This window comes from Homo sapiens, chromosome 11, assembly GCF_000001405.40.
Source record: "Homo sapiens chromosome 11, GRCh38.p14 Primary Assembly".
Taxonomy (NCBI): Eukaryota; Metazoa; Chordata; class Mammalia; order Primates; family Hominidae; genus Homo; species Homo sapiens.
In genome coordinates this window covers 2,358,988-2,376,094 of record NC_000011.10, presented here as the reverse complement: position 1 = coordinate 2,376,094, position 17,107 = coordinate 2,358,988, and the positions used below count along the sequence as shown (strand labels likewise).

Here is a 17,107-nt window from a genome sequence, read left to right as displayed (position 1 = left end):
CGTCATCATCTGTGCTCTACCGGTTTTCTTGGTGGTTAATTTGTAAACTGGTTTTGGCTTCATGCCTGCGTAAGAACTGCAAGCACTAGTAGTTTATGCCTGGTTTTACATTTTGTGCCTGTCGAAGTGACATTATAAGAAAAGACACTATATGGTCACTTGAGAGTCTTCGAGGATTCTTTTTGTTTAGAAGGGAATAGAAAAGGGTTCCAGTGTGAGGAAACATTTCTCTGGATGTCCTGGACACCTGCTCTCCCATCAGCTCCCTGCTGTCCCCAGTGATGGGGACATTTCCCGTTAAAGGTGTGAGCTGTGTCCTCAGCAGGGGGTGGTAGGTGGAGGGAGACACTGGCTCCACTCTCAGGAAGTGGGAGGAGGGGGCAGATCCATGCACACTGTGTCCTTGACCACCAGCCTCAGAAGCAGGCCATGCCCAGCCAGCAGCCAGCCTGCCTGTCCTCTTCAGCCATGCATCAAATATTTAGTGGGTGCCTGCTGTGTGTCAGGCACTGTTCCAGGCCCTGGCTGTGGGAGCCAGGCAGCAGACCCCTCCCCTGGAGGATCTGCAACTCTGGCGGAGATGACACGTGTCACAGCACGATGGTCATATCAGTGCTGGGGAGGGACGGAATTCCTAGGATGCTTGCTAGAGGGTCACAGGGTTGGGGCACTCCTCAACCACGGGGCTGAGGCACTCCAAGTGCAGAGGCTTGGAAGAGCCACAGTGGATCCAGGCCCTGATGCCTGAGAAGGAGCCAGCTAGGCAGAGCCGGGGAGGAGCACTCCAGACAGACAGGTGAGGTTGGAGGAACACAAGGGAAGCAGGAGACAGAGCCAGGGGAAAGGGGCTGGACACAGGTTAGGGGCAGGTGTGAGCCTGGGAGGCAGGGGGGCTGGCCTTGGGACCTGGAGGCCAGAGGGAGGCTGCATTTTATTCTGACTGCAGTGGGATGATGGAGGGCTTCATGGGCCTGACATCTGATTGCGGGGGCAGCAGCCCGTCTTAGCTCCAGAGTGGAACTCACATTCACAGTCACTTGCAGGCTCACAGGGAAGACTGGCTATGAGGGGGTAGGAGGACCACTTCGCAGGGCCTGGCCCATGGGAGCTCCACATCTGAAGTGCCCTTCCCAGTGGCCCACTGGTGTGACCTCATGGGGACCTTGGGGATCCCATGGCTGACAAGGACATGGCTTGTGTCTGTGTGATACTGGCACAGTACGCACCCAGAAGTGCGTCTGAAAGGGTTCCTGTTGTTAGCTGGGCCTGGTGGAGCTTCCATCCTGGCTCCAGGACAAATATTCAGGTGGACTCTGTCAGAGGATGAGGGGAGAAAGGGGAGGGGCTTGCTCAGCAGCCCGGCCTGGGATGGGAGCGCCGCTCCCTGGGCCTCCCCTGCCCTGAGAAGGCTTATGCCTGAGGAAGGCAGAGCTGCTGGAGCGATGTGGGCACAGCCGGAGGCACGTTGAGGAAGGGCAGGCGTTTGCAGCCCGGCTGGGTTCTTCTCCTCCCTGTGTGTAGGAGTCTTCCCCTCCCCGTGACTTCGGGCTGGTCCCTCAGTTTCCCCATCTGCAGAAGTGCCATCTCCCAGCATTTTGGGACAGGTGACATGTGCATATATTCCCATTGCACTTAGGGGCAGGGCCTGGCCTGTGGGAGGAACCAGGTCCCTGGTTCCTTGAAGCCATGTTTGACAGAGAGACCTTTCTGCCTGGCGTGAGGTGACTCACAGCCCCGATGGAGCACACCTTCAGTTGGTGGAGCCATTCATGAGACCATGAGACCCCTGTGCCTTGATTTCTCGTGGAATACATGAAGATCACTCAAATGAGGACAAGCAGAGGCTGTTTATGCAGTGCTCACTCTAGCAGGGAGTCGGCCACTAGCACTCATCTTGGGCAGACACGCCCAGGCAGGTTGGGGAGTTGTACAGCTTTCTATTAAAAGGGGTGGCAGAAGAGTTTGGATGTTATCAACATCCAAAAAGCAACCAAGGTAATAAATACGCCATATCAATAGAATAAGAGACAGAAACCGTAAGATCATCTCAACAGACGCAGGGAAGGCACCCAAACACAAGCTCACACTCTTCCCTGATTAAAAAAAAAAAAAAGCACTGAACTCACTAGAAATAGAAGGGACCTGCCTCCACCTGATAAAGAGCGCTGACAAAAATACCCCAGCTAACGTGGTGCTCAGTGGTGAAAGCCGGATAGTTCTTCCCCTATGATCAGGAGTAAGGTGGGGTGAATGCTCCCCACTTCCATTCAACACTGTCTGGAAGGCTCTGGCAGGGCAATTAGGTAAGAAAAAGATGTCAAGGGCACCCATATTAGAAAGGAAGAAGAAAAATGCTATGTCTGAATATCTGTGTCCCCCCAGTGTTGAAATTCTTACTCCCCAGGTGATGGAATTTGGAAGTGAGGCCTTTGGGAGATTAGGTTATGAGGGCAGAGCCTTCCTATATTGGATTAGTGTCCTTATAAAAGAAGCCTTAGAAAGACCCTGGGCCCCTTCCTTTCACTATGGGGGGGACACAGCGAGAAGACAGTCATCTATGAACCCAGAAGTAGGCCCCGACCAGACACCAAACCTACGGGTGTCTTGATCTTGGACATCCCAGTCTCCAGAACTGTGGGAAATACATTTGTGTTGTTTATAAGCCACTCAGTTTATGGTAGTCTGTTGTGGCAGCTCAAAAGGACTAAGACATTAAACTTTCTATTTGCTGATTATATGACATTATATATAGAAAATCCACTAAAACCCTTAAAACTAATAAACATGCATAGCAATGTGGCAGGATACAAGATCAATATACAAACATCGATTTTATTTCTATACACTAGCAATGAACCATCCAAAAATGAAGTGAAGAAGACAATCTCATTTATAATATTGGCAAAAAGAACATACCTAGAAATAAATGCAACAAAAGATGCATAAAACTTGTGTACTGAAAAATACAAAATATTTTTGAAAGGAATCAAAGAGTATCGAATTAAATGGAAAGATATCCTGCAGTCATGGATCAGGAGACATAATGTTAAGATGGCCAAACTCCCGAATTCATCTATAGCTTCACAATCTCTATCAAAATCCCATCTGTCTTTTTACAAGCTGATCCTCAAATTCATAAGGAAATACAAGGGTTTCAGAATAGCCAAAACAATCTAGAAAGAGAAGAGCAAAACCGGAGGGCTCACATTTCCTGATTCAAACTTACTGCAAAGCTACAGTAATCAAGACAATGTGGTACTGGCATAAGGATAGACCTACAGATCAATGCAGTAAAGTTGAGACTCCAAGAACAAATCCTTGCATTTATGGTCAATTGATTTTTTTAAAGACTGTTCAAGTGCAGCAGTGAGAAGGCGGGAAAGAGTAGAACGAGGTGTTCCATCTGTAACTGACTGTGAACAATCAATTGAGATAACTCACTACCTTCAGACCGGCCATCAGTTGATTTTTGACAAGGGTACCAAGACAATTCAATGGGGGAAGGAATAGTCTTTTCAGAAAATGGTGCTGGGACAACTAGATATCCATGTGCAAAAGAATGAAGTTGGACCCCTACCTCATGCTGTGCACAAAAATTAACTCAAAATGGATCGTAGACCTAAATGTAAGCACTAAAATTATGATATCCTTAGGAAGGCCAGGCGCAGTGGCTCACACCTGTAATCCCAGCAGTTTGGGAGGCCGAGGCGAGTGGATCACCTGAGATCAGGAGTTTGAGTCCAGCCTGGCCAACATGGTGAAACCATGTCTCTGCTAAAAACACAAAAATTAGCTGGGCATGGTGGTGGGCGCCTGTAATCCCAGCTACTCGGGAGGCTGAGGCAGAAGAATCGCTTGAACCCAGGAGGCAGGGGTTGCAGTGAGCTGAGATTGTGCCGTTGCACTCCAGCTTTGGCGACAGAGAGAGACTTTGTCTCAAAAAAAAGAAAAAAAAAGAAAAGAAAAAATAAAATCCTTAGGAAAGAACATAGGAATAAATCTTGGTGACCTTGTGTTAAACAATGGTTTTTAATATACACTACCAAAAGCACAGGCAACAAAAGAAAAAATAGATAAATTGGACTTGGCCAAAGCTAAAAACATTTGTGCGTGAAAAGACACCATCAAGGAAGTGGAAAGACAACCCAAGAAATGACAGCAAACATTTGTGAATCATCTATTTGATAAGGGACTAGTATCTAAACATGTAAAGAACTCTAACTTATCAACAAGAAGACAAACCACCTACCTTTAATGATGGGCAAAGGATTAGAATAGAGCTTGCTCCAAAGAAGATGTACATATGACCGATAAGCTCATGAAAAGATGTCCCCATCATTAGTCATCAGGGAAATGCAAATCAAAACACAGCGAGATACCACGATGCACCCATCAAGATGGCTATAAATAAAAGAGACAGACAATAACAAGTGTTGGCAGAGGTATGGAGAAATTGGAACCCTCCTTCATTGCTGGTGGGAATGCAAAATAGTGCAGCCACTTCGGAAAACAGACTGGCCGTTTCTCAAAATGCTAAATATAGAGTTTCCATAAAAATCAGCAATTCCAGTCCTAGATATACGTGTGTGTGTGTGTGTGTGTGTGTGTGTGTGTGTGTGTGTGTGTGTATCCAAGAGAAATGAAAGCATATGTCTGTATAACAATATGCACATGCATGTTCATAGCAGTACTGGTTTGTTTTGTTTTGTTTTGTTTTGTTTTTTGAGACAGAGTCTTGGTCTGTTGCCCAGGCTGGAGTGCAGTGGCGCGATCTTGGCTCACTGCAACCTCTGCCCCCCGGATTCAAGAGATTCCCCTGCCTCAGCCTCCTGAGTAGCTGAGATTACAGGCACGCATGACCGTGTCTGGCTAATTGTTGTATTTTTATTAGAGATGGGGGTTTCACCATGTTGGCCAGGCTGGTCTCAAACTCTTGGCCTCAAGTGATCCGCCTGCCTCATCCTCCCAAAGTGCTAGGATTACAGGCATGAGCAACTGCACGCAGCCAGCACTAGTTTTAATAGCTAAAAAGTGGGAACAATTCAAATGTTCATCAATGAATAAATAAATAAACAAAATATCGGTCTATCCATACAGTGGAATATTATTCAGCCATAAAAATGAATGAAGTACCGATACGAGCTACAACATGGATGAACTTTGAGGGTATGATGCTGAGGGAAAGAAGCCAAACCCAAAAGACCATTGTGATACCATTTTTTTCAAGTGTTTAGAATGGGCAAATTAATGGAAAGTAGATTGGTGAGTGGCTGCCTGGGGCTTCGTGGACTGGGTGGGGAGTGGCTGCTAACAGGTGCCTACGGGGTTCTGTCTTTGGGATGTTGAAAATGTTCTAAAAGTAGGCAGTGGTGATGGTTGCACAATTCTGAGACTACTCTAAAGTCACACCAACTAAGTCTACAGTTTATGCTAAGTTTTATGTCATAAGAATTTTATCTCAATAAAGGTATAAAAGACCTTCCAAAGGCCAGGTGCAGTGGCTCACGCCTGTAATCCCAGCACTTTGGGAGGCCGAGATGGCCAGATCATGAGGTCAGGAGATCAAGACCATCATGGCTAACATGGTGAAACCCCGTCTCTACTAAAAATACAAAAAAATCAGCCTGGCACGGTGGCGGGTGCCTGTAGTCCCAGCTACTCGGGAGGCTGAGACAGGAGAATGGCTTGAACCCAGGAGGCGGAGCTTGCAGTGAGCCGAGATCGCGCCACTGCACTCCAGCCTGGGGGACAGAGCGAGGCTCCATCTCATAACAAAAAACAAACAATCTTCCAAAATACCAATAAAACCAACCAACAGAGAAGGCTTCAGATGTGTGTTGCTGGAGGCAGTGGGCTGGGGAGGCTGAGGCTCTGGGCTGGGGAGGCTGGAGGCGGCCACCCTTCGTCAGGGACATATTTGCCTTCCTCCAGTTGGTCTTGAGTTGGGGGCAAAAATAGGTGAACTGGCAGCCGTTAGCCGTGGCCTGAGTCTGTGGCGTGATTGCTACAGAGGTGTGGTTTGGCTTCCAGGCTTCTCAGGGGTCAGAGTTCTACTGACATACGTGATCCGGCCGCTGCCCGCTGGCATGGTTAGTCTTTCCTCCTTGTGTAGAAAGCCAGGATAAAAACTGCCCTATGTCCAGCATTGACAGGCAGGGCTGAGTGCCATCTGGGGCCTGGGGCACATGTGTAGCTATCTTCTCCAGGGGCTCCTGGCTGGCACTATTCTTGCCCAGGGGGCCCTGCCCTTGTAGGGCTCCCAGTGTAGAGGGGGAAAACATGAAATAGTTGGACACGTCAGTCAATTCAAGAATTTGGGGTAGTGACCCCAGCTACAGAGAAACCAAGAGGTAATGGGAAAAGGAATGATTTGGGGCCTAGCAGTCAGGACCAAGCACGCCGGGCAGGGACAGTGCTCTGAGACCTTTGCCTGACACTTGGGGGATGAGGGGGCCCTTCCAGGCCCCGGGTATAGCAAAGGCCCAAGGCCAGAGAGTGTTGGAGGGGACCCTGGGGCGAGGCGGGGCTGGGAGCCTCCGTTACTGCGCGGGTGCTCAGAGGTGTGGAGCCCTGGGGAGCAGGGCACGCAGGGCCCGAGTTGTGCTTTCAAACCTCTCTGGTCGAAGGGCAAGAACAGACCTTGGGGCCAGATGGGAAACAGGGAGACCAGTGATTGCTTCCTGCAGGGGCCAGGCCAGAGCTGACAGCAGCTGGGAGTGGAGGCAGAGATGGCGGAGAGGTCCCAAGAAAAGGGCCCTCTCTGCTTTCAGGACAGAAATAGTTCCCCCTTGTGAGGTTTGCAGGGGGATGCAAGGCTTGGGGGGCAGGGAGGGGAGGGGACCCCAGGGAGGAGGGGAGGACTGAGCACCAGAGGGTGTGGGGTGCTTTCAGGTTCATGCATGCATGCATGGATATGGGGTGAGATGCGGGACTGGGCACACCCCATGGGGTGGGCCAGGGGTGGGAAGCCTGAGCATGCAGTGCCCAGGGGGGTCTCGATGAGATGTCCCGGGGGTCTCTTTGGAGACCCCAAGTCGTGGGATCCCCTAAACTCTCCGGCAGTTTGTGTTGATGGCATGCGGGGTGGGGATGGGAGTCTCTCCCGGCGCTGCAGGGCTCTGGGGGCCTCCCCTTCGTTCTTGCTCTGGGTGGGAGACAGGAGGAAGGAGCAATTCAGAAGCCCGGCAGTAGAGAGGATGCTGTAGGCACAGGCTGAGGCCTGGTTGGCCTCTGAGGGTCCATGATCTTGACCAAGAGCAGCGGGCAGTGGCCAGGCAGGGCCACGGAAGCCCAGGATGGACATCAGAGTGGTGCCCTCCCATGGAGATCTCGTCCCCTCAGAGGATCCCGGCCAGCACCTGCACAGCCTGGCGCACACACTGTTATCATCATGAGGACTCCTGGGTATGAGAAGGGCTGGTGAGGCTCTGATACCATCTCCTCCTCAGGATCCCTGGCAGGCAGCAGAATCCAGAAATCCGGGCTGAGCTGAGCAGGGGGAGTGTGGTTGGGGCCTCCCGGGTGGGCCCAGGAGGCTGGTGGCTATACTCTGTGACTCTGTGGGCCTGGCTTGAGGGGGAAGACAGTGAATAGTCTGCCTATTTACTGTCTCCAGCTGGGGCTCCCCTTTGCTGATGGGGTCCCCTCTCCAGGGTGTCTCCCCTCCACTGAGGGTCTCCTCTCCCTGGACCAAGTGACCCCTGTCTGCATTTGCAGGTTGGGGACAGGTGGGGCTGGCTGGCACCTGTCATTGATTTATTAATAAATCAATAATTTTGGGGGTGGCTGCCTGCTGGAGGTGGGATGGGTGGTGGAGGAGTCACCTTCACTCTTGTCTAAACCCATGAGTTTTTGTTCAACACTGGGATGGGGAAAGCAGCTTGTTAGGACCCTGTTCCCTGAGGAGGGATGGGTGAGGCTGTTGGGGTGAGGCTGTCTGTCAGCCGTGACCAGAGCTGGCTGAGCTACCCTAGGCTTCATGTCCCCAGGTGCAGCATAGCCATGGGACGCCCAGGGGCCTCTGATCCCCTTCCTACAAGCTGTGTGTAGTTTAAAGGGGCTGGGAGTGCAGAAGAGGACGCGGGCCTGCTTTTCCACACTGGCTCCGTTCCCTTCGTGCGGGTGCCAGCCAGGCCCGGCCTTTTCTGGCCAGGGTCACCGTGTCCTGGACCCAGCCCTGACCCCTCCATTCCCTACCGTGTTGTCACCATCCCCTGTGAGGAGGGACCCCTGAGGCCTCTTTCTCCCGCTCTAGAGGCTCTTCCGGACCCCTGATCCTCACAGCCTGGGCCTCCCCAGAGGCTTCTGGGGCCACTGGTTCCCCGTACAAGCTGATACCAGCCGTTAATGACATTGCCTTGTTTACTTCAGCATGAGCTGGGCCACAGAGGGGAAGCTGTGTTGCTGAAGGGGACTCTGAAGATTACCATTGGAGGGGCTGCCTGGCTGAGACCTGAATAAGTGAGCAGTGCCCAAGAACAGAAAGGGGAGGTTGTCAGATGCTGGCCAGCACTGCCTAGCCCCAACCTGCAGACACAGATAGGGCGGAGGGGTCACCCAACCCAGGAAGGGGAGCTCATCTATGGAGGGGAGCCCCCCTGGAGTAGGGACCCCATCAGAGGACCCCGTCAGCAGAGGGGAGCCCACCCGGAGAGGGGACCCTATCAACAGAGAGGAGACCTAGCTGGAGAGGGGACCCTGTCAGCAGAGAGCAGCCTCACCTGGAGAAGGGACTTCATCAGCCAAGGGAGCCCCAGATGGAAAGGAGACCCTGTCAGTGGAGAGGAGCCCCAGCTGAAGAGGGGACCCCATCAGTGGAGGGAGCCCAAGCTGAAGAGGGGACCACATCAGTGGAGGGAGCCCCAGCTGGAGAGGGGACCCCATCAGTGGAGAGAGCCACAGCTGTAGAGGGAACCCCATCAGTGGAGGGAGCCCCAGCTGGAGAGGGGACCCCATCAGCAGAGGGAAGCCACAGCTGGAGAGGGGAACCCATCAGCAGAGGGGAGCCCACAGGGGTATCCAGAGGGAAGGCCAGGTTGGGTATCCTGGGAGTGGGAAGTTGGGTCAGAGGTGAGGCTTTTGCAGCGAGCAAGCTTGTTTCAGGTTGGGAGTGCCCAGCGGGCAGTGGGGGTTGGTGGACGCAGCAGGGAGGAAGTTCCAGGGTCTTTGACAGCGGCTGCTCCCCACTGCAGAGCTGACAATCTCTTGAGGACTCCAAGAATGAACGGATGGCCAAGCCTGGGCCTCCAGTGGGAACAGCGCCACCGTGGAAGAGGAGGGAGGTTGTCCTCATGTAGGGGGCAGGCTGGAGAGACAAGCTTGGGGTGGATGATGGTTTGCTTCTTAGGTGAAGGAAAATGAAGAGCCACCTGCAGCCATCGCTCTGCTCTCCAAATCAATCCTGAATAACTGGGAGAGAAAAACTTAAAAATGAGACCAGTGAATGGAATGGGAGGTGGGATGGGGATGTGGCAGAAGAGGGGGCCGCCCCACTCCTGTTGGACGTGGGGGCACTGGGAGCCACATGCATGCCAGGGACGCCCAGCCCCTGGCCCTGGGCCAGCCTCACTGGCAGTGGCTGGGGACAGTGGGTCTCTGTGCCTCCTCCTCGTCTCTGCGGTCCCTGGCTGGGTGCCCACCCTCTCCCTCATCTCGCCGTCTGCCTTCCTTTCATTTCTTTTTGGCATGGTTCTCTCACTGTCCAGGAAGGAACTTGGCGTCTTGCACCCCAGGCGGGCAGAGCCAGGAGCCCAGCTGACCCAGAAGGGCTCGGGTGGAGTGGGTGGGTGGTGGGAAAGCAGCTGGAGCCCCCGAATGCAGAGCCTGCCCCGTCTGCCGTGCCTGGAGGGCACCCCTCACTCCTCAGGCTCTCCAGAAGGTCAGCTATGGGGGCAGGGTCTGGGCCCATTCTGGACCCTGCTGTATCCCAGGGACCATTTAAATGGGGGCCTGGCACAGACTAGGGGTTCAGTTGTTAAATGAATAAGCAAAGCTCAAAGCCCCCTATGTTCCTTGCCTGAGCCAAGAAGGAAGCCTGGGCCTGGCTTCTGAGTCCACCCACCCTCCTTGTGAGGTAGGAAGGCAGTGGCATTGCATAACTGACCACCTACAGGACCGGGCCACGCCGAGAGGGAGCAGGCGCCTTGATGCTCCTAGATCGTCGGCCAGACTCCCCCTCCCCAGTCCTTGGAGCCTCCTTGCTTCTTCAACCCCTGTCAGAGTCCGTGGGGCAAGGTGAGACTGGGAACACTGTCTCCTCCCCCAGACGTGGCTGATCTCAGCCTGGAGCCCCACCCCAGGGCTGCACAGGACCAGGGTCCAGATCATCAGCCCAGGATGCACGGTGGACTATGTGTGCCCAGCACTCGTGCACCGAGAGACCCGTCTTGTTTCCCATGAGCCCCTCGGTGCTGGGTGCCGGGTGAGAGCATAGCCCTGGTGATCCTGGTGGTCTTCTCCAGACTCTGATGTTTCCTTCCAGTCTCCCGGCCCTCCCCTCAATGTGCAGTGTGTGCGGGTTGAGGGGGCTGCTGTGGTCTGAATGTGTCCCCCATCTCTGTAATCATGATGGACTAACATCATTGTCGTGGGAGCGGGCTCTGACAGAAGGATGAGTTTGGTCCCCTTCTCTCTGGCTGTCTCTCTCTCCCTCTCTTTGCCCTTCTGTCATGGGATAAGGCAGCACAAAGACCCTTGCCAGAGGTGGCCTGTCGATCTCGGACCTCCCAGCCTCTAGGACCAGGGGCCAATAAGTTAGCCAGTCTGTGGTTTTCTGTTCTAACAGCACACGATGGACTAAGACCACAGGCCAAGTCTCCCCAGTGTATCACCATTAGGCCACACCCTGATACGGTTTGGATCTGTGTACCTGCCTAAATCTCATGTTGAATTGTAATCCCCAATGCTGGAGGTGGGGCCTGCTGGAGGTGATTGGCTCATGGGGGTGGATTTCCCCCCAGTGCTGTTCTCGTGATAGTGAGTTCTCATGAGACCTGCTTGTTTAAAGGCATATGGCACCTCCCCTCTCTCCCTCTGGGCTTCCTCCTGCTCCGGCCACGTGAAGTGCCAGCTCCTCCTTTGCCTTCCGCCATGATTGTAAGTTTCCTGAGCCCGCCCCCAGAAGCCATGTGGATGCCAGCACCATGCTTTCTGTACAGCCTGGGGAACTGTAAGCCAAGTAAACCTCCTTTCTTTATGAATTACGCAGTCTCAAGTATTCTTTATACAGTGCAAGAACGGACGAGTACACCCACTTTGTCTAATCCAATCACACTCTGCATGACTCTCCATCAAACTCCACATAAAAATACACGGGTTTCCCTCTTCCCTTGGGTCCTCATTTCTTTTTCCTTTTCTTTTTCTTTTTTTTTTTTTTTTTGAGACGGAGTTTCACTCTGTCACCCTGGCTGAAGTGTAATGGCGTGATCTCGGCTCACTGCAACCTCCACCTCCCGGGTTCAAGCAAGTCTCCTGCCTCAGCCACCCCGGTAGCTGGGACTGCAGGCACATGCCACCATGCCCGGCTAATTTTGTATTTTTAGTAGAGATGGGGTTTCACCATGTTGGCCAGGCTGGTCTCGGAACTCCTGACTTCAAATGGTCTGTCCACCTCGGCCTCCCGAAGTGCTGGGTCCTCATTTCCGAAGGCTCCTATACGAGATGAAACTTATATTGAATAAATGTGTCTGCTTTTCTCTTGTTAATCTGTCTTTTGCTGTGAGAGCCTCAACCATGAACCTAGTGACGAATGAGGAGACAAATCTTTTCTCCTCCAGGTGCTTTGGACATGCTGACGGGTTCTGTGAGGGTCTCACTGTTTAGAGAAGCAGGACTCCCATCACAGGGCCACAGGCAGGGAGCACACCACACCAAAGACAGTGGGACGCCCAGCCGGGCCGGGCTGGGACCCAGGGAAGCCCAGGAGGAGACTGCCCTCTGCCCCACTCGCCTGGGAGCACCTCCCCCGGGGCGTTCTTCCAAATCTGGTGCCTGCCTTGATGTGCTCCCGATTCCTTTGCTCCTTGTCCCAACACTCCCTGTGCAGGCTCTGGAGACAGAGCTCTGATGGCTCGTGGGTCCCCATCACTTTCACTCTTGGCCATGTCAAAGGCTGCTGGTCTGACCCTGAGTCCCTCTGCAGTGCCCCAGGGGTCCAAGGTCCTGTGGGTCAGAAGGAAGGGCCTTGCCCCACCCCACCAGGGGCTGTGGATGGAGCCCCCAGCCAGGGCTGTCATGGGAGGCTGTGAGTGCCCACACCTGTCCAAGCAGCTGCAACTGCGGTTCTTCCTGGAGCTGTATACATCCAGCCCTTTGGGCGTCTGCCCACTCTCCCTCTGGCGGAATGTGACCCACCTGCTGGTCTGATTCCATGATAGGAGAACAAGCATGTTGCAGTCCCGACCTTCAGTGCCTCATATGTGACCTTATTTGGAAATAGGGTCACTGCAGATGTAACTAAGATATGGCCATTAGTATCCTGCTCAGATCTGACCGGTGACCTTAGGAACAGGGGAAGTTGGATGCAGACGCACACACAGGAAGGACGCCATGTGAAGGTGAAGGCAGAGATTAGAGTGATGCTCCACGAGCCAAGAAACACGAGGCTGCCTGGGAGCCCCAGAGGCTGGAGGGACTGGGCAGAGGCTGGAGGGACTGGGCAGAGGCCACCTCGTAGCCCCCGAAGGAACCAGCCCCAACAACAACTTGAGCTTGGACTTGAGGCCCCCAGGGCTGGGGAGATAAATGTCTCTGTGAAGGCTGCCAGACTGTGGCGCTTTGCTGTGGCAGTCCTAGCAGACGACTGCAGGAGACTTTAGTCATGCTTAACAAGCAGCCCCGATTGGTGCAGACCCATCAGAATGGGGCTGGCCACGGCATTGAGTGATGTTCCAGAAGCTGTCTGTCGTGCCCTGCTTGGACCCTGGGGGAAGGAACCGGGGTGGCCTCTGGGGGACACCTGGAGGCTCAAGGTAGGGGTCGTTCAACCAGCATGGAAGCCGTTCTGTGTTTTAACAACCACCTGGGTATGCAGATGCACACCACTCAATATCAGGCCTGTGAGACAAGAAACACCCTCAGGTCCCAGGTGGGCATGGCTTCCATGTCAGCAGAGCTCCAGGCCCAGGCACGACCTTTGGAATTTGTTGCTTGCAAACTGTCTGAGGTTCGGTTCCCCAAGAGACACTGCCAGATAGAGACATGTAGGTCAAGGGTAAAGTGGCAAGTGCTCTTGGGGACAAAGGCTGTGAGAGAGGGAAGGAGCAGGTGGGGGCAGCTGAGCTGTGCTCCACTCGCAAAGAAGGTTTCTGATGATGCCTCGGGTGCTTTTGGAGCTGAAGGGGCCCTTTAGAGAGGCCATGAATTCAGGTGAAGGACCTGACCTGTTGCTTCCTCCATCGACCATTCATTGGGTAGAGGTGGCTTCCAGGGCAGGGAGAAGCCATGGGTGAGGCAGCTGCCTTTGGCTGAGGGCATTTCCTCGGGAGGAGCAAGCTGAGAGCTGTGGGCAGCTGGCTGGACCAGTGCTGTGGTCCCGCTGGGAGGGACGGTGCAGTGCACAGCAGTGAGCATCTACCATAGTCCTCCATGATGTAGATGTATAGATATAGAGACAGATACACGGAATGAGATAGATAAATAAGTACAGATCCATAGAGATAAAGACAGACAGACAGACAGATAGGCAGGCAGACAGTCAGATAGACAGGCAGACAGGCAGACAGACAGGCAGACAGGCAGACAGACAGATAGACAGGCAGGCAGACAGGCAGATAGACAGACAGGGAGGGAGACAGATAGACAGAGAGACGGACAGACAGACAGACAGATTGAGATTACCATAGAGATAGAGATAGATCAGATAGATATAGAGATGTAGACAGAGATATAGATATAGGTAGACATAGATAGAGATAAGTAAAGATACAGGTAGCTAGCTCGGTAGCTAGATAGATAGCTGGATGGATGGATGGATGGATGGATGGATGGATGGATGGATGGATGGAAGAAAGGGGGTTTATGATGGGAATCGGCTCACATGAGTATGGAGACTGAGAAGTCCCATGATTTGCCCTGTCTGTGCAAGCTGGAGACCCAGGGAGGCTGGTAGTGTGGCTCAGTTCAAGCCTGAAGATCTGAGAACCAGGGAGGCCGACAGTGTAACTCGCAGTCAGAGGGGCCACTGGTATAAGTTCCAGGGTCCAAAGCCCAGAGAACCAGGAGTTCTGATGTCTAAGGGCAGTAGGAGGTGGGTGTCCCAGCTCTGGTGGGGGAAGAGAGAGCAAGAGAGCACGAATTCATCTTCCCGTTCTGCCTGGGCCCTCAGTGGATTGGATGGTGCCCTCCCACTTTGGGTGAAGACAGATCTTCCTTATTCAGCCCACGGATTCAATCGCCAGTCTCTCCGGAAATGCCCTCACAGGCACACCCAGAGATAATGCTTTCATGCTCTCTGGATATCCCTTCATCCAGTCAAGTTGACAGCTGAAACGAACCGTCACAAGTTCACTCCTTGTCAGCTTGGAACCCATACACACCTCCTTAAACCGTACTTCATCTCCAAATAGACAGCAGCAAGGTCATGGTTCCAACTAACATGTGATGACTGTCCCGCATACAACCAGACACGCACTGACTCCTTCCCTGGAAGAGGAGGTGAAGTCCTCGAGTGATGTCGACTCTCCCGATATCGCACGACCTCAATACTGTCATGTAAAATTCACGATACCTTGATACTGAGACAAAATCAATAGATCTTATGTTACATGATAAAGGAGTAAGAGAGGAAAGAAAACAGATATTTGCTTAACTTATGTACACATATGCACAAATGCTTTCTTAACAAAATGGAGAGGAAACACTCGTGAAAGTTGCAATCCTCATTTCTGCTACTGGCCAAGCTACAGGAGTACCTGGTGTTTATAACCACTGCCCATTCTGTAGTCCCTTTGCCCTCAGCAAGCACCTCAGCCGGTAGTGGTTCTGTACCTGGCCAGGTGACCCAAGGCCTCAGTGCTTAAGGGTCTCGGCCTTGCTGTAGTTTCCTAAGGAAACTTGCATTGCTGTGCTTTCCCAGGGATTATTTTTTTATTATTATTTTTTATTTTTGAGACGGAGTCTTGCTCTGTCGCCCAGGCTGGGGTGCAGTGGCGCGATCTCGGCTCACTGCAAGCTCCGCCTCCCGGGTTCACGCCATTCTCCTGCTTCAGCCTCACAAGTAGCTGGGACTACAGGTGCCTGCCACCATGCCCGGCTAATTTTTTGGTATTTTTAGTAGAGATGGGGTTTCACCGTGTTAGCCAGGATGGTCTGAATCTCCTGACCTCGTGATCCGCCCGCCTCGGCCTCCCAAAGTGCTGGGATTACAGGCGTGAGCCACCGAGCCTGGCCCCAGGGATCTTAACCACAGGGTGTGGTTACACTTAAAGAAGCCCTAAGGGGCCTCCTGCATTCCCCGTGCTCTTCCGCACCTCTGGTGTGGAGTGCAGTTCGATGTCCCCTGGGTCCTCTGGATCAATCCCCAGCCAGCATCCAAACTCTCTTATCGGCCTGTTGATTCTGAGGCTTGAGGAGCCCCAACTGCCCAGGTGCCACCTTAACTTCCAGTTCAATGGAGTCATTGTTGTGTCTCCTGGTGGCAGCATTCCTCACCTTGGAACCAAGGCCCCTAGGCCAGCAGAGCGTAAAGTCATGGGAACAGGAAACAAAAACACTGCTAGTGGGTCACTGGGGCTGATGGTGGGTGGTGCCACTCCCACTTCTGCCCCTTGGTTCCCGGACGGGTGAATCCTGACTGTGGGAGAGACAGCTCCACATATTGGACACTGATTCAGAGCACGGACAGCCTCCTGGAGCAGCACCTTGCCCCAGCCCTGCAAGGGACTGCCACCCAGCTTGTGCTGGAGCTGTGTCTGCAAAAGCCCATTCCACCGTTCTATCACGCCAGCTGCTTCAGGATGATGGAGAACACGGTAAGACCCGTGAATACCACGAGCATGAGCCCACTGCCACGCTTCTTTGGCTGCAAAGTGAGTTCCTTCGTCAAAGCAATGCTGTGTGGACAGCACGGCATTAGATGAGGAGTTCTGAGCCCACAGATGGTAGTGACGACAGAAGCACTGTGTGCAGGGAAGACAAATCCATATCCATGGCAGGCGCCTATCCCAGTGAGAACAAACCAGCGCCCCTCCCATGATGGGAACCGTCCAGTGTCACCCACCCGCCCCCAGGCACCGGGCTCAACACGCTGGGGAATGGAGCCTCAGCGCCCCTTCCATGATGGGAGCTGTCCAGTGTCACCCACCTGCCCCCAGGCACTGGGCTGATCACTCAGGAATGGAGCTTATCAGGCTGAGTGTTGGTCTCTGCTGCTGGCACACTGGGCATACAGTGCTGGTGGTACTCAGCTTGGCCTTGGTCAGTGGAAGTCCATGTTGCTGAGCCCACGCACAACCTCCATCCCTGCCACCACAGCCACTTCGCTCAGGAGCTCACTGGGTGATGAGAGGGGTGGCTGGGAAAAGGCTCACTGGTGTCCATAGAGTAGCTCATGCTGTCCACCTGATTACTGAAGTCCTCTGCTGAGGTCACCCTTTGGTGAGCATTCACATGGGACACAAATATCTGGATGTCATTAGCATGTTCAGAAAGGGCTATCTATACATCTCTTCCACACATTTCTTCATCACCAATTTTCCAATCATGTTCCTTTCAAGCACCTCCATCCACTTAAATTACTGGCAACAGCCATGAATGAAATATCATCACACATCTGCTCCTTCTAAGCGGAGCACACACAGGTGCATGCCGGAAGTTCTACCCACGGGGAAGATTCCTCTTCACCACTGTCTGAGGGATATCCCCCAGGGGCTACAGGGCTGCAGCTGTCCACTTTCCGGTAGTGTCTGCATACTGAGCAGAACCATTTGTAAGTCCGGCCTGAGTCTTCTCTTCCTCCGTCAACTAATCAGAGGAACTCCCCATGCAGCCACAGGTGCAGACAGGGAGGGAGAAGGCAGGGGAGCAGCAGTGGGGCCACAGGCTTTGGGCCACTACTTCACGTAACTTCCTTGTGCCTTCAGGACCTGCTTGGGCCTGATCACCTATCCCC

At 53.3% G+C, this 17,107-nt stretch overlaps 2 long non-coding RNA genes across 2 annotated transcripts in view, besides 2 other annotated features; both read left to right on the top strand.

Moving 5' to 3' along the window:
* Window positions 1-17,107, top strand: part of CD81-AS1 (CD81 antisense RNA 1) — a 49,244-nt gene that overhangs the window by 1,898 nt on the left and 30,239 nt on the right. The window lies entirely within an intron of this gene.
* Window positions 40-798: an enhancer, noted in NCBI's record as "H3K4me1 hESC enhancer chr11:2396527-2397285 (GRCh37/hg19 assembly coordinates)". NCBI's record gives its function as "activates a minimal SCP1, AML or CMV promoter by ChIP-STARR-seq in naive H9 embryonic stem cells {active_cell/tissue: H9 hESC(naive)}" and the evidence as "EXISTENCE:reporter gene assay evidence [ECO:0000049][PMID:30033119]".
* On the top strand, window positions 694-4,620 carry LOC105376520 (uncharacterized). Its single transcript, XR_930983.2, has 2 exons — window positions 694-796; window positions 2,850-4,620. It is a non-coding gene; the product is annotated as an uncharacterized LOC105376520 (long non-coding RNA).
* Window positions 15,224-16,012: an enhancer, noted in NCBI's record as "H3K4me1 hESC enhancer chr11:2381313-2382101 (GRCh37/hg19 assembly coordinates)". NCBI's record gives its function as "activates a minimal SCP1, AML or CMV promoter by ChIP-STARR-seq in naive H9 embryonic stem cells {active_cell/tissue: H9 hESC(naive)}" and the evidence as "EXISTENCE:reporter gene assay evidence [ECO:0000049][PMID:30033119]".